Raw genomic sequence first — 15,603 nt, 5'->3', positions numbered from 1 at the left:
CAGGCGCTGCAGAGCCACCCAGGGGACCCAAGGTCAGCGGTGGAGTCATGAGAACATCTGAGGCAGGACCACAGCCAGATGCAGGCAGGTAAACACACTGCTCCCTGCTTGGCTGTCATCCAGGAACCAGGACCGGACCACAGGAAATGAGGAAGTCACTTTTGGGCCAAGCCAGATGCACAACCAGGCCTAGCAGGAGGCTGTGGAGCACACAGGGCCCAGCTCAGGTGGGAACTGAGTGTACAGTGCACTGAGTGCTGGGCATCGCAGGCCTTGGGGACACAATGATGGCCAAGAGATGTTTCTGCCTCCCCCCGGGAGCTCCTGGTCCAGAGGGAACAAGAGACTAGGAAAAGCTACAGTGGAAAGGTGTGCATGCAAGGTAGAGTAGATACAGCTGGGGCCATGAGTCTGAAAACGAGCCACTGTTCCACCATCTGAAGGACTTTGGGCACATCCAATATCGCTTGCTTAATCTTTTTCTTAAAATGAAAAAAGAAATAAGTTGTTTTTAGGAAGGAGAACCAGTATTACTTGCCACAAATTCAAGATAACAAAAAATAAAGGCCTGACTACCCGAAGAAAGAAGTGCTCATTAATGTGCACACTTCAAATCCTCTCCCGTCCCACACCGTGGACACTATGCCCTCTGCAGGGCTTTTGCCCCAAAGAGGGCGAGGCAGGGCTGAGAAGCAGGGAGGGGACATGGGAGGAGTTTGCAGGGGAGGGGTTTGTAGGGGCCCAGCCCTGCAGTGGTAATGGGGCTGCAGAAATAATGAATGAATGAATGAATGAATGAGCAAAGAAGAAACAGCACCTGGGCAGGGCGCGGTGGCTCACACCTGTAATCCCAGCACTTTGGGAGGCCAAGGTGGGCGGATCACGAGGTCAGGAGATGGAGACCATCCTGGCTAATACGGTGAAACCCCGTCTCTACTAAAAACACAAAAAATTAGCCGGGCGTGGTGGCAGGCGCCTGTAGTCCCAGCTACTCGGGAGGCTGAGGCAGGAGAATGGCATGAGCCCAGGAGGCAGAGCTTGCAGTGAGCCAAGATGGTGCCACTGCACTCCAGCCTGGGGGACAGAGCGAGACTCCGTCTAAAACAGAAAAAAAGAAAAAGCACCTGTGGGGAGGAAGAAATGAGCTCCACCAGCAACGAACAGCACAGACGCAGACTGGCAGTGGGAAGCTGTGCATGTGTGCATGCATGGGTGTGTGTACACATGTGTGCATGCACATGTGTATGTTCACAACAGGTACCTGCAGTCTCTAGTGGGGACCATTCACAGGGTCAGTGTGGAAGCATCCACCCTGAAAGGTCTGGGGACCAGGCTAAGACATCTGGATTCTGTCTTAGAAGCAGGCAGAGCCAGGAGAGTTTTAAGCAGAAAGTGGCACGCTTGACAAAGCCATGCGTTAGAAAGTGCATTCTGCTGGATTGGAGGGGCAAGACCATACATAGAGGGGTTCTAATCAGATAAGGAGGACGTGGCCAAGGCAGCAGGGCTGGGGGCTGCCTGCCTCCAGCCATTCGGCCATGACAAGGACCAGGAGAGGGCCAGGAACATGCTGGGCCCCGGCGCGGTCTCGGAACTGTGGATACAGGGAGATAAACCTTGAACAAAATGGTGCCTGTGCCCTCCTGGCTCCTGGCTGCCCCTCTGACCTGGCTGCAGGTAACAGGCAAGGCCCTCCGGGTGAGTTAGACTCCCTCTGGGGCAGACTTTGGAAGGAATTCTTTCAGCCTCTGCCACACTCCACTTGAACTCACTGAGTTATGAGGAACCCGCACCCCACCCCCAGGTGGACCCATGAATGTTTTCCAAGGTTGACCTGTGACACATACCAGGTTGTGATAATGTTATAAAAATTAAAATTTCAAACTATTTAAATTATCTAATAATTGCACTATGTGTAGAATTCCTATTCTGGATGAATCCAGATTTAAAAAGGGATCTTCATTTTCTGAAGTTCATTCTTTTTTTTTTTTAAGCAGTGGAATAAAACAGGTTTATGAAACAGGTGCTTTTGGTGTATTTTAGGCATGCTTGATTTTCTTTCCACAAGTAAAAATAGTAATGAAGAAATTCTGCGAGAACAGCACCACCTGAATGGAACTTCCTAAGGCTATCAAATCTATAGCTCCGGGCTCTCCTGCTGCTTGGAAAAGAGCCCGTTGCAGAGCAGATGCGCTGCAGGGAAAAGGGGTCTCCTCCATCTTGTTCTCTGAGCTGAGCACCCCATGGGAAGGTGAGCGGACAAGGCTGCCAAGCCTGCAGGGTTGGCTTTGGGTTGGGAGAGCAGGTGGGGAGACCAGGCCTCTTTATTCCCTGCTGCAGCGGCCACGCCGACAGCTAGGAACTAACATTTATTGAACACTTGCTTCTAATGCATGAGATGTGAGATAGCGATTTGGGCTGCATATTTCTCTTGGGCTCCACTGGGGCAGGGCTACCCCCTCAGTATTTCCTTTCCTGAGGGGCTTCCCCAGCAGGAAGCAGGGGGATGCTTGATGTCCACGGCCCTTTGGGCGTTTGTATGAACCTAAACACTACAGGTGGAAGCCCGTGGAGCCTGCCTAGGTAACTTTCCCTGCCAGGGCGGCATCCCCAGCTGCAGCGAGCTCTGGCTGCCCCCCATTGGCAGATCTTGTCCTGGCTGGATGGGAGCTCGTCTCCACCCACCCCAGGCTGAGGCCATTGACTGATGGGCACGGAGGCACTAAACGCCAGCTTCTTGCCTGCAAGTGGGACAGGTCTGTGGGGGTTTTCCTGCTCCAGGGGTCTCCAGGATCAGGGGAGGCTGCTCTGTCTCCAGGGACACCACTTCTTGCCCTAGTGTCCTCACCTCCTGCTTCCTCCCTGCCCTTTTCTTGAGCACACGCCCTCAATGCACCTGTCAAGGTTCGCCATCTCATGTGGAGACACTAAGCTATGACGTTTGGAAAGACAGAGGCCAGTGTCTGGTAGCAGGTACAAAGGGAAGGTGTGTGCTGAATCAGGGAGGAGAAGAGAGGTCCCCTAGACTGACAGGAGAACTGGGCAAAGGGAATCCCATCCCTGAGTTTTGCTGCTCAGCACAAGCCCTGGCTGTGGGATTTGTAAGGGGGGTGAGGACTTGAGGATGGGAGTGGGGATGGTGACGGCAAAGGTCAGGGGCCTCCCTGCAACTTCTGGTTCCCTGAACAGCTCTTGGAGCCTGGTCGTGTTCCAGAAGTTCAGGATATGACAGTGGAGGGATGCCTGCTCTGAGGGCGTTTGTCCTCCAGTGGGGGACAGGAAATAAACCAGTGAACAAATAGATCAGCCAGATCCCGGCAGCTGGTAAGTGCCAGAGAGAAAATGAAACTGCATAAAGGGGAAAATCCGGGTGTGTGTGTGTGTGTGTGTAAGTGTGCTGTGTGCATGTTGTGTATGTATGTGTGTGGTGTGTGTATATATGGTGTATGTGTGTTATGGTGTCTTGTGTGCTGAGTGGTATGTTGTGGGGTGTGTGTGCTGTGTGTTGCAGCATATCTGTGGTGTGTGCATGTGGGTGAGTGGTATGTGGTATATGATGTGTGTGTATGGTGTGTGTGTTGTGTGTGTTGTATATGGTGTGTGTGTGAATGTTGTGTGTGGTGTGTATGGTGTGTGTGGTGTATGTGTGTGGTTTTGGTGTGGTGTGTGTGTGTGCATGCTTTAGCTGGGGGCTTTCAGGGAAGCCTCTGGGAGGTGATGACATACTGAGCTGAGCCCTGAATCATGACAAAGAGGAGGATTGCAAAACCTGGGTGGTGTGTGTAATGTGTGTGGTGCGTGTAGTGTGTGTGGTGTGTGTCGTGTGTGTAGAGTGTTGTGAGACCATTTAGAACTGAGGGAACAGCAAGTGCAAAGGCGGGAATGAGTCTGGCAGATCATAGGATCAGAAAGGCCTCAAGAGCACTGAGCATGGCGGGGCCGGCAGCAGGCGTGTGGAACGGTATTGGGGAACCTGCCCCGATAGTCACGTAGGTTCTTTTCTGTTTTCCCTAAGTATCGGCCGGTTTGAGAAATAAAGGGACAGAGTACAAAAGAGAGAAATTTTAAAGCTGGGCATCCGGGGGAGACATCACATGTCGGTAGGTTCCGTGATGCCCCACAAGCCGCAAAACCAGCAAGTTTTTATTAGGGACTTTCAAAAGGGGACGGAGTGTACGAATAGGTGTGGGTCACAGAGGTCTCGTACTTCACAACGTAATAGAATATCACAAGGCAAGTGGAGGCAGGGCGAGATCGCAGGACCACAGGACTGGGGTGAAATTAAAATTGCTAAGGAAGTTTCGGGCACCATTGTCATTGATAACATCTTATCAGGGGACAGGGTTTTGAGAGCAGCCGGTCTGACCAAAATTTATTAGGCGGGAATTTCTTCTTCCTAATAAGCCTGGGAGTGCTATGGGAGACGGGTCTATTTCACCCCTACAGTCTACAGACCATAAAAGACGGCCACACCTGGGGGGCCATCTATAGACCTATACCCCCAGGCATGTATTCTCTTTCCCAGGGATGTTCCTTGCTGAGAAAAAGAATTCAGCGATATTTCTCCCATTTGCTTTTGAAAGAAGAGAAATATGGCTGTGTTCCACCCGGCTCACCGGTGGTCAGAGTTCAAGGTTATCCCTCTTATTCCCTGAACAACTGCTGTTATCCTGTTCTTTTTTCAAGGTGCCCAGATTTCATATTTGTTCAAACATACATGCTCTACAATTTGTGCAGTTAACTCAATTATCACATGGTCCTGAGGCGACATACATCCTCCTCAGCTTACAAGATGACAGGATTAAGACATTAAAGTAAAGACAGGCATACGAAATCACAAGGGTATTGATTGGGGAAGTGATAAGTGTCCATGAAATCTTTACAATTCATGTTTAGAGATTGCAGTAAAGACAGGCATAAGAAATTATAAAAGTATGAATTTGGGGAACTAATAAATGTCCATGAAATCTTCGCAATCCACGTTCTTCTGCCATGGCTTCAGCTGGTCCCTCCGTTTGGGGTCCCTGACTTCCCGCAACAGAACGGCAGGCAAGGGGCGGGTGAGGTAGCTCAGTGTTCAGTTGTTTCTTGGTTACTGCCTGTGTGGGAGGATCCTCAGCCCAACTAGACACCCTTACTCTCCAAGGCAGAACCCACACCTTAACATTACATATTATCATTGATATATGTACATAAATATACATTTATAATATGTGCCATAGAGTATCTATTTATTATTGCACATTAGCATGTATTGAGGGCCTCTGCTGTGTAGGCTTGTACTGCAGGCCGGGGCTCTGGAAAGGCGGGAGGCCTGGGTTCCACCCACAGTCCGGAAGCTCCCAGAGCCCAGCATCCTGACCTTTTTCAGGTATGCCTTAAAGGTATAGTTCCATTTTCCAGTGACAAGATTAGAGATTCTCATTATTTTTCAAGTTCACTGTTAGACTCACTGCAGCTGGGGAAGGGCCGCACCAGCAGGGAAATGTACATAGGCAGACACCACCAGTACTACCCATTTGGATGAGGTTAGGTTAGCACAAATGCAGAAAGTGCTGTTGACTTCAAAAAAGCAGACCTACATCTTACATTTCTGCTGGTTTCCTTGTCCTTGAGAAATGCAAGGGGCTGTTTTTGACCTCCCTGGTGGGTCTGGGGAGTCAAAGTTCAAGTCTAACATATTTGGAGGGCCCTGACGTCTGTTTACTAAATGACTGGCACTAGCAGCTCTTAAACAAGGTGCCAATGGAAGTATCCAGCTCAAGGGCATGGCAGGAGAGCTCAGGCAGAGCCAAGACGTCTCAGAGTGCAAAGGTATGCTCAAACCTGCTTAGACTCATTCATCAATTTGAGCCAGGGAGCCCTTGGCTAGCTCAAGTCCAACCCAGCATGGATGACCTTAAGTTACCAAGCTGAGCTATACTTTTCTAAGGAAACTGAAGAATCTCAGACTGTCTCTCTGTTAGTCTCAAGCAGAAAATGGAGAAGTACATTTTTGTTCTATTGAAGAAACGTGACTTAATTCTGTTCTGAGAGAAGGAGGTGTGTGGGTGAATTTCTCTGTTCTGCAGACTGGAACAGCCACACAGAGCCCTGTGAAACTGAGCAAGGAGATCATTGTGTGTTCATTCTGATATGGGATACAAGTTTCTAAGAGGTTTTGTTTCCTCCTTTGTTTTATAGAAATAGTTATGTTATAAACTCTAGAAAAGAACATAAGACAAATTAAGTTTTGGCTTTCAAAAACAAAGTTGTCCTCATGGAGTAAATCTTTGCTTCTGTTTTTCTTTTAAATCTTTTTTATTGTAAAATAAATGACAAATCCAGCAAACTTCACAAATCAAATGTATGGCTTAGTGAATTATTATAAGGCAAACACCTTCAAGCTAAGAAATAAGAAATAGAACTCTGATAGCCAGTCCAGAAGCCCCTTCATCCATGAACCTGTCCTCCTCACAGCCCTGTCTCCAGCCCCATAACCAACCACTATGCTGATTTTTATAGGAATGACTTTCTTGTGCTTTTTAAAAATATTTTTTATCACCCAAATAGACTCTACATACATGCTTTATCACCCAGAAAGACTCTGTACATATTATAGTCTTACATTTAAAATATTTTTGATTTGTCTTTTAAGTATCTTTTAATCTCTAGGTTCTTCCTTCATCTCTTTAATTTCCTTAGAGAGCCCTCACTTTGTTATAGTTCTATGGGGAACAATAAATGTAACGTACACCACCAGTCCTTGTGCTGGTGACTCTGACCATTTAGGGGTCTGAGGCTCAATCTCTATTAGACTCCTCAGGAAGAGCTTGTGGGAACACTCTTTTCTTGTTTTGTTTTAATTTTTTTTTTTTTTTTTTGAGACAGAGTCTCGTTCTGTTGCCCAGGCTGGAGTGCAGTGGCAAGCTCACAGCTCACTGCAGGCTTGGACTCCTGGGCTCAGGCAATCCTCCCATCTTAGCTTCCTGAGTAGCTGGGACTACAGGCATGCACCACCATGCTTGGCTAATTAAATTTTTTTTTAGGCTGGGTGCCAATGACTCACACCTGTAATACTGGCACTTTGGGAGGCTGAGACAGGCAGATCACTTGAGGTCAGATGATCACTTGAGGCCAACATGGTGAAACCCCATCTCTACTAAAAATACAAAAAAAAAAAAAAATTAGCCAGGCCTGGTGGCACATGCCTGTAGTCCCAGCCACTGAGGAGGCTGAGACAGGAGAATCACTTGAATCTGGGAGGCGGAGGCTGCAGTGAGCCGAGATCGCATCACTGCACTCCAGCCTGGGCAACAGTGGGAGACTCCATCTCAATAAAAAAGAAAATTCTTTTAAACAGTCTCCCTATGTTGCCCAGGCTGGTCTCAAACTCTTGGCCTCGGGTGATCCTTTTGCCTTGGTCTCCCAAAGTGTTGGGGTTGCAGGCATGAGCCACTGCGCCCAGCAAGAACACTATTGAGTTCTTGCATGTTCAGAGTAATTTATGTTCATATTTGAGAGCCAATGTTGCTGGATATAAGATCCTAAGATCCTTGCCTTACTATTCCTCCCCTTCAATTTCTTAAATATGTGCTCCATTTTCTTCTGCCATGAAAGGCTGCAATTAAAAATTGTGAAGATTATCTAATTTTTTGTTGTTGTTGTTACTGTTGTTTTTGAGACAGAGTCTCGCTCTATCGGGCAGGCTGGAGTACAATGGCATGATCTCGGCTCACTGCAACCTCCGCCTCCCAGGTTCAAGTGATACTCCTGTCTCAACCTCTGTATTTTTTTTTGTTTTTTTTTATTATTATACTTTAAGTTTTACAGTACATGTGCACAATGTGCAGGTTAGTTACATATGTATACATGTGCCATGCTGGTGCGCTGCACCCACTAACTCGTCATCTAGCATTAGGTATATCTCCTAATGCTATACCTCCCCACTCCCCCGACCCCACAACAGTCCCCAGAGTGTGATGTTCCCCTTCCTGTGTCCATGTGATCTCATTGTTCAATTCCCACCTATGAGTGAGAATATGCGGTGTTTGGTTTTTTGTTCTTGTGATAGTTTACTGAGAATGATGGTTTCCAGCTTCATCCATGTCCCTACAAAGGACATGAACTCACCATTTTTTATGGCTGCATAGTATTCCATGGTGTATATGTGCCACATTTTCTTAATCCAGTCTATCATTGTTGGACATTTGGGTTGGTTCCAAGTCTTTGCAATTGTGAATAATGCCACAATAAACATATGTGTGCATGTGTCTTTATAGCTGCATGATTTATAGTCCTTTGGGTATATACCCAGTAATGGGATGGCTGGGTCAAATGGTATTTCTAGTTCTAGATCCCTGAGGAATCGCCACACTGACTTCCACAATGCTTGAACTAGTTTACAGTCCCACCAACAGTGTGAAAGTGTTCCTATTTCTCCACATCCTCTCCAGCACCTGTTGTTTCCTGACTTTTTAATGATTGCCATTCTAACTGGTGTGAGATGGTATCTCATTGTGGTTTTGATTTGCATTTCTCTGATGGCCAGTGATGGTGAGCATTTTTTCATGTATTTTTTGGCTGCATAAATGTCTTCTTTGGAGAAGTGTCTGTTCATGTGCTTCACCCACTTTTCGATGGGGTTGTTTGTTTTTTTCTTGTAAATTTGTTTGAGTTCGTTGTAGATTGTGGATATTAGCCCTTTGTCAGATGAGTAGGTTGCGAAAATTTTCTCCCATTTTGTAGGTTGCCTGTTCACTCTGATGGTAGTTTCTTTTGCTGTGCAGAAGCTCTTTAGTTTAATTAGATCCCATTTGTCAATTTTGGCTTTTGTTGCCATTGCTTTTGGTGTTTTAGACATGAAGTCCTTGCCCATGCCTATGTCCTGAATGGCAAAGCCTAGGTTTTCTACTAGGGTTTTTATGGTTTTAGGTCTAACGTTTAAATCTTTAATCCATCTTGAATTGATTTTTGTATAAGGTGTAAGGAAGGGATCCAGTTTCAGCTTTGTACATATGGCTAGCCAGTTTTCCCAGCACCATTTATTAAATAGGGAATCCTTTCCCCATTGCTTGTTTTTCTCAGGTTTGTCAAAGATCAGATAACTGTAGATATGTGACGTTATTCCTGCGGGCTCTGTTCTGTTCCATTGATCTATATCTCTGTTTTGGTACCAGTACCATGCTGTTTTGGTTACTGTAGCCTTGTAGTATAGTTTGAAGTCAGGTGGTGTGATGCCTCCAGCTTTGTTCTTTTGACTTAGGATTGACTTGGCGATGCGGGCTCTTTTTTGGTTCCATATGAACTTTAAAGTAGTTTTTTCCAATTCTGTGAAGAAAGTCATTGGTAGCTTGTTGGGGATGGCATTGAATCTGTAAATTACCTTGGGCAGTATGGCCATTTTCACGATATTGATTCTTCCTACCCATGAGCATGGAATGTTCTTCCATTTGTTTGTATCCTCTTTTATTTCCTTGAGCAGTGGTTTGTAGTTCTCCTTGAAGAGGTCCTTCACATCCCTTGTAAGTTGGATTCCTAGGTATTTTATTCTCTTTGAAGCAATTGTGAATGGGAGTTCACTCATGATTTGGCTCTCTGTTTGTCTGTTGTTGGTGTATAAGAATGCTTGTGATTTTTGTACATTGATTTTGTATCCTGAGACTTTGCTGAAGTTGCTTATCAGCTTAAGGAGATTTTGGGCTGAGACAATGGGGTTTTCTAGATATACAATCATGTCGTCTGCAAAGAGGGACAATTTGACTTCCTCTTTTCCTAATTGAATACCCTTTATTTCCTTCTCCTGCCTAATTGCCCTGGCCAGAACTTTCAACAGCATGTTGAATAGGAGTGGTGAGAGAGGGCATCCCTGTCTTGTGCCAGTTTTCAGAGGGAATGCTTCCAGCGTTTGCCCATTCAGTATGATATTTGCTGTGGGTTTGTCATAGATAGCTCTTATTATTTTGAAATATGTCCCATCAATACCTAATTTATTGAGAGTTTTTAGCATGAAGGGTTGTTGAATTTTGTCAAAGGCCTTTTCTGCATCTATTGAGATAATCATGTGATTTTTGTCTTTGGTTCTGTTTATATGCTGGATTACATTTATTGATTTGCGTATATTGAACCAGCCTTGCATCCCAGGGATGAAGCTCACTTGATCATGGTGGATAAGCTTTTTGATGTGCTGCTGGATTTGGTTTGCCAGTATTTTATTGAGGATTTTTGCATCAATGTTCATCAAGGATATTGGTCTAAAATTCTCTTTTTTGGTTGTGTCTCTGCCCGGCTTTGGTATCAGGATGATGCTGGCCTCATAAAATGAGTTAGGGAGGATTCCCTCTTTTTCTATAGATTGGAATAGTTTCAGAAGGAATGGTACCAGTTCCTCCTCGTGCCTCTGGTGGAATTCGGCTGTGAATCCATCTGGTCCTGGACTCTTTTTGGTTGGTAAGCTATTGATTATTGCCACAATTTCAGATCCTGTTATTGGTCTATTCAGAGATTCAACTTCTTCCTGGTTTAGTCTTGGGAGAGTGTATGTGTCGAGGAATTTATCCATTTCTTCTAGATTTTCTAGTTTATTTGCATAGAGGTGTTTGTAGTATTCTCTGATGGTAGTTTGTATTTCTGTGGGATTGGTGGTGATATCCCCTTTATCATTTTTTATTGCGTCTATTTGGTTCTTCTCTCTTTTTTTCTTTATTAGTCTTGCTAGCGGTCTATCAATTTTGTTGATCCTTTCAAAAAACCAGCTCCTGGATTCATTAATGTTTTGAAGGGTTTTTTGTGTCTCTATTTCCTTCAGTTCTGCTCTGATTTTAGTTATTTCTTGCTTTCTGCTAGCTTTTGAATGTGTTTGCTCTTGCTTTTCTAGTTCTTTTAATTGTGATGTTAGGGTGTCAATTTTGGATCTTTCCTGCTTTCTCTTGTGGGCATTTAGTGCTATAAATTTCCCTCTACACACTGCTTTGAATGTGTCCCAGAGATTCTGGTATGTTATGTCTTTGTTCTCGTTGGTTTCAAAGAACATCTTTATTTCTGCCTTCATTTCGTTAGGTACCCAGTAGTCATTCAGGAGCAGGTTGTTCAGTTTCCATGTAATTGAGCGGTTTTGAGTGAGATTCTTAATCCTGAGTTCTAGTTTGATTGCACTGTGGTCTGAGAGATAGTTTGTTATAATTTCTGTTCTTTTACATTTGCTGAGGAGAGCTTTACTTCCAAGTATGTGGTCAATTTTGGAATAGGTGTGGTGTGGTGCTGAAAAAAATGTATATTCTGTTGATTTGGGGTGGAGAGTTCTGTAGATGTCTATTAGGTCCACTTGGTCCAGAGCTGAGTTCAATTCCTGGGTATCCTTGTTGACTTTCTGTCTCGATCTGTCTAATGTTGACAGTGGGGTGTTAAAGTCTCCCATTATTAATATGTGGGAGTCTAAGTCTCTTTGTAGGTCACTCAGGACTTGCTTTATGAATCTGGGTGCTCCTGTATTGGGTGCATATATATTTAGGATAGTTAGCTCTTCTTGTTGAATTGATCCCTTGACCATTATGTAATGGCCTTCTTTGTCTCTTTTGATCTTTGTTGGTTTAAAGTCTGTTTTATCAGAGACTAGGATTGCAACCCCTGCCTTTTTTTGTTTTCCATTTGCTTGGTAGATCTTCCTCCATCCTTTTATTTTGAGCCTATGTGTGTCTCTGCACGTGAGATGGGTTTCCTGAATACAGCACACTGATAGGTCTTAACTCTTTATCCAATTTGCCAGTCTGTGTCTTTTAATTGGAGAATTTAGTCCATTTACATTTAAAGTTAATACTGTTATGTGTGAATTTGATCCTGTCATTATGATGTTAGCTGGTTATTTTGCTTGTTAGTTGATGCAGTTTCTTCCTAGTCTTGATGGTCTTTACATTTTGGCATGATTTTGCAGTGGCTGGTACTGGTTGTTCCTTTCCATGTTTAGCGCTTCCTTCAGGAGCTCTTTTAGGGCAGGCCTGGTGGTGACAAAATCTCTCAGCATTTGCTTGTCTGTAAAGTATTTTATTTCTCCTTCACTTATGAAGCTTAGTTTGGCTGAATATGAAATTCTGGGTTGAAAATTCTTTTCTTTAAGAATGTTGAATATTGGCCCCCACTCTCTTCTGGCTTGTAGGGTTTCTGCCCAGAGATCCGCTATTAGTCTGATGGGCTTCCCTTTGAGGGTAACCGATCTTTCTCTCTGGCTGCCCTTAACATTTTTTCCTTCATTTCAACTTTGGTGAATCTGACAATTATGTGTCTTGGAGTTGCTCTTCTCGAGGCGTATCTTTGTGGCGTTCTCTGTATTTCCTGAATCTGAATGTTGGCCTGCCTTGCTAGACTGGGGAAGTTCTCCTGGATAATATCCTGCAGAGTGTTTTCCAACTTGGTTCCATTCTCCCCGTCACTTTCAGGTACACCAATCAGACGTAGATTTGGTCTTTTCACATAGTCCCATATTTCTTGGAGGCTTTGCTCGTTTCTTTTTATTCTTTTTTCTCTAAACTTCCCTTCTCACTTCATTTCATTCATTTCATCTTCCATCGCTGATACCCTTTCTTCCAGTTGATCGCATCAGCTCCTGAGGCTTCTGCATTCTTCACGTAGTTCTCGAGCCTTGGTTTTCAGCTCCATCAGCTCCTTTAAGCACTTCTCTGTATTGGTTATTCTAGTTATACATTCTTCTAAATTTTTTTCAAAGTTTTCAACTTCTTTGCCTTTGGTTTGAATGTCCTCCCGTAGCTCGGAGCAATTTGATCGTCTGAAGCCTTCTTCTCTCAGCTCGTCAAAGTCATTCTCCGTCCAGCTTTGTTCCATTGCTGGTGAGGAACTGCGTTCCTTTGGAGGAGGAGAGGTGCTCTGCTTTTTAGAGTTTCCAGTTTTTCTGTTCTGTTTTTTCTCCATCTTTGTGGTTTTATCTAGTTTTGGTCTTTGATGATGGTGATGTACAGATGGTTTTTTGGTGTGGATGTCCTTTCTGTTTGTTAGTTTTCCTTCTAACAGACAGGACCCTCAGCTGCAGGTCTGTTGGAGTACCCGCCGTGTGAGGTGTCAGTCTGCCCCTGCTGGGGGGTGCCTCCCAGTTAGGCTGCTTCGGGGTCAGGGGTCAGGGACCCACTTGAGGAGGCAGTCTGCCCGTCCTCAGATCTCCAGCTGTGTGCTGGGAGAACCACTGCTCTCTTCAAAGCTGTCAGACAGGGACACTTAAGTCTGCAGAGGTTACTGCTGTCTTTTTGTTTGTCTGTGCCCTGCCCCCAGAGGTGGAGCCTACAGAGGCAGGCAGGCCTCCTTGAGCTGTGGTGGGCTCCACCCAGTTCGAGCTTCCCGGCTGCTTTGTCTACCTAAGCAAGCCTGGGCAACTGGCAGGCGCCCCTCCCCCAGCCTCGCTGCCGCCTTGCAGTTTGATCTCAGACTGCTGTGCTAGCAATCAGCGAGACTCCGTGGGCGTAAGACCCTCGGAGCCAGGTGAGGGATATAATCTCGTGGTGCACAGTTTTTTAAGCCCGTCGGAAAAGCGCAGTATTTGGGTGGGAGTGACCCAATTTTCCAGGTGCCTTCCGTCACCCCTTTCTTTGCCTAGGAAAGGGAACTCCCTGACCCCTTGCGCTTCCCGAGTGAGGCAATGCCTCGCCCTGCTTCGGCTCGCGCAGGTGCGCGCACCCACTGACCTGCGCCCACTGTCTGGCACTCCCTAGTGAGATGAACCGGTACCTCAGATGGAAATGCAGAAATCACCCATCTTCTGCCTCACTCTCGCTGGGAGCTGTAGACCGAAGCTGTTCCTATTTGGCCATCTTAGCTACTCCCTCCAACCTCTTTGTATTTTTAGTAGAGATGGGGTTTCACCATGTTGGCCAGGCTGGTCTTGAACTCCTGACCTCAGGTCATCTGCCCACCTTGGCCTCCCAAAGTGCTGGGATTATAGGCAAGAGCCACTGCACCCAGCCCCAATTTTCTTTCCCTTACATATCCCATGTTCTTTTTTTTCTAGACACACAAAATCTTATGTTTTTATTTTTTTAACTCAGCAATTCTACTAGACTTTGCCTTTGCGTTGGTCATTTTGACTTGGTAGTCTCAGATGTGCAGTATGCTTTTTCAATATGTAGTTTCCCATCTTTATTTTTAATTTCAGGGAATTTTTCTTGAATTATATTTTTAATATTTGTTTTCTTCCTTTGCTTTGATTATTATCTTAAGGGACTCCTGCTATCTACATGTTTAATCTTCTTTGCCTATCTTTAATACTTGTTTCTTTTTCTCAAATCTTTTTATATTTGTTCATTTGTTTTAAATGTAAAATTATCTTTTTTTAATCTACTCTTTCTTTTCAGGCATTATCTTTTGTTCATTCACTCTTGTGTTCCTTCTAATTTATTCTTCAATTTTGCTATAAACTTCTCTTTGACTTCGAATTCTTTCAGGAGTTCTGTTCTCTCATTTTCAACTTTTCCCAAATGTTGTTTGACTCATATGTTGTGTCATTGTAACTCATTTTGAATGAGTAGGTTGATTTGGTTAATTTGGTTCTGTTCTGTGGTCACATCTTCCTGGCATGCTTTGATGGTCTGTAGGAGTGTTTACTGTGGCCTTCATTCTCCTTTTCTTATAGTCATTTTGTACGGCATTTGATCTCGATACTCATCTGTGGTTATTTTTAAGTGAAATTAGTTCTCCCAAACCTCCCATTTAGGAAAACCGTTTTAACTCCACAGAACTTCTGCCTCTCTTGCTTTCGTGCATTGTTTTGTGTTTTGTTTTGTTTTGTTTTTAACTTTTATTTTAGGTTTGGTGGTACATGTGCAGGTTTGTTACATATATAGGTAAACCCATGTCATGGGTGTTTGTTGTACAGGTTATTTCATCATGCAGTTTTTGTGTATTAAACAGCTTGCTTACGGAGCTTTTCCGGATCCATTCCCCTTCCCTGTGGTCTGGATCATCTCTTTGTCTCGATTATCTCTGCCTTTGTCAGTTTTTATTTCATCGTCTGAAGTGTCTCCTCTGTGCTAAAAGAGAGCTCGGAAGGACGTTTGGGGGTTCTCAGGACTTGGGTTGCTCCGGCCCCTTCTGACCCTCCTTCCATAGGCCCCCTGCAGTCACCAGTTGCTGGAGCTGACTAAAGCACTCCTGATTTCAACAGCTGCTCTCACAATTCCCCTTGACCTTTGCTTTTTGATAATTAGATAATCTAAAAAAATTAGATAATCTTCACAATTTTTAACTGCAGTGTTTCATGCCAGAAGAAAATGGAGCACATATTTAAGAAATTGATGGGGGGGAATAGTAAGGCAAGGATCTTATATCCAGCAACACTGGCTCTCAAATATGGCTTTTACTTATGGTACAGTCCATCCATAATTGCATTCCAGTTAGAGGTAGCAGATGCCCGAAATTTTGTCACCATCATTTGCTGCTACAGTGGGTAGAGGGGCAAATAATATATTCTATTAGCCGGGCCTGGTAATGTGCGCCTGTAATCCCAGCTACTTGGGAGTCTGAGATAGGAGAATTGCTTGAACCTGGGAGGCGGAGGTTGCAGGAGGGAGCTGAGATTGTGTCACTCCACTCCAGCCTGGGCAACAGAGCAAGACGTCATCTAAAAAA

The 15,603-nt window shown here is 44.8% G+C and overlaps 1 annotated feature.

Moving 5' to 3' along the window:
- Nucleotides 2,666–3,166: an enhancer, noted in NCBI's record as "H3K4me1 hESC enhancer chr10:128581076-128581576 (GRCh37/hg19 assembly coordinates)". NCBI's record gives its function as "activates a minimal SCP1, AML or CMV promoter by ChIP-STARR-seq in primed H9 embryonic stem cells {active_cell/tissue: H9 hESC(primed)}" and the evidence as "EXISTENCE:reporter gene assay evidence [ECO:0000049][PMID:30033119]".

The sequence above is a fragment of the Homo sapiens genome, chromosome 10, assembly GCF_000001405.40.
Source record: "Homo sapiens chromosome 10, GRCh38.p14 Primary Assembly".
Classification (NCBI taxonomy): Eukaryota; Metazoa; Chordata; class Mammalia; order Primates; family Hominidae; genus Homo; species Homo sapiens.
This window is presented reverse-complemented; position numbering and strand designations above follow the sequence as displayed.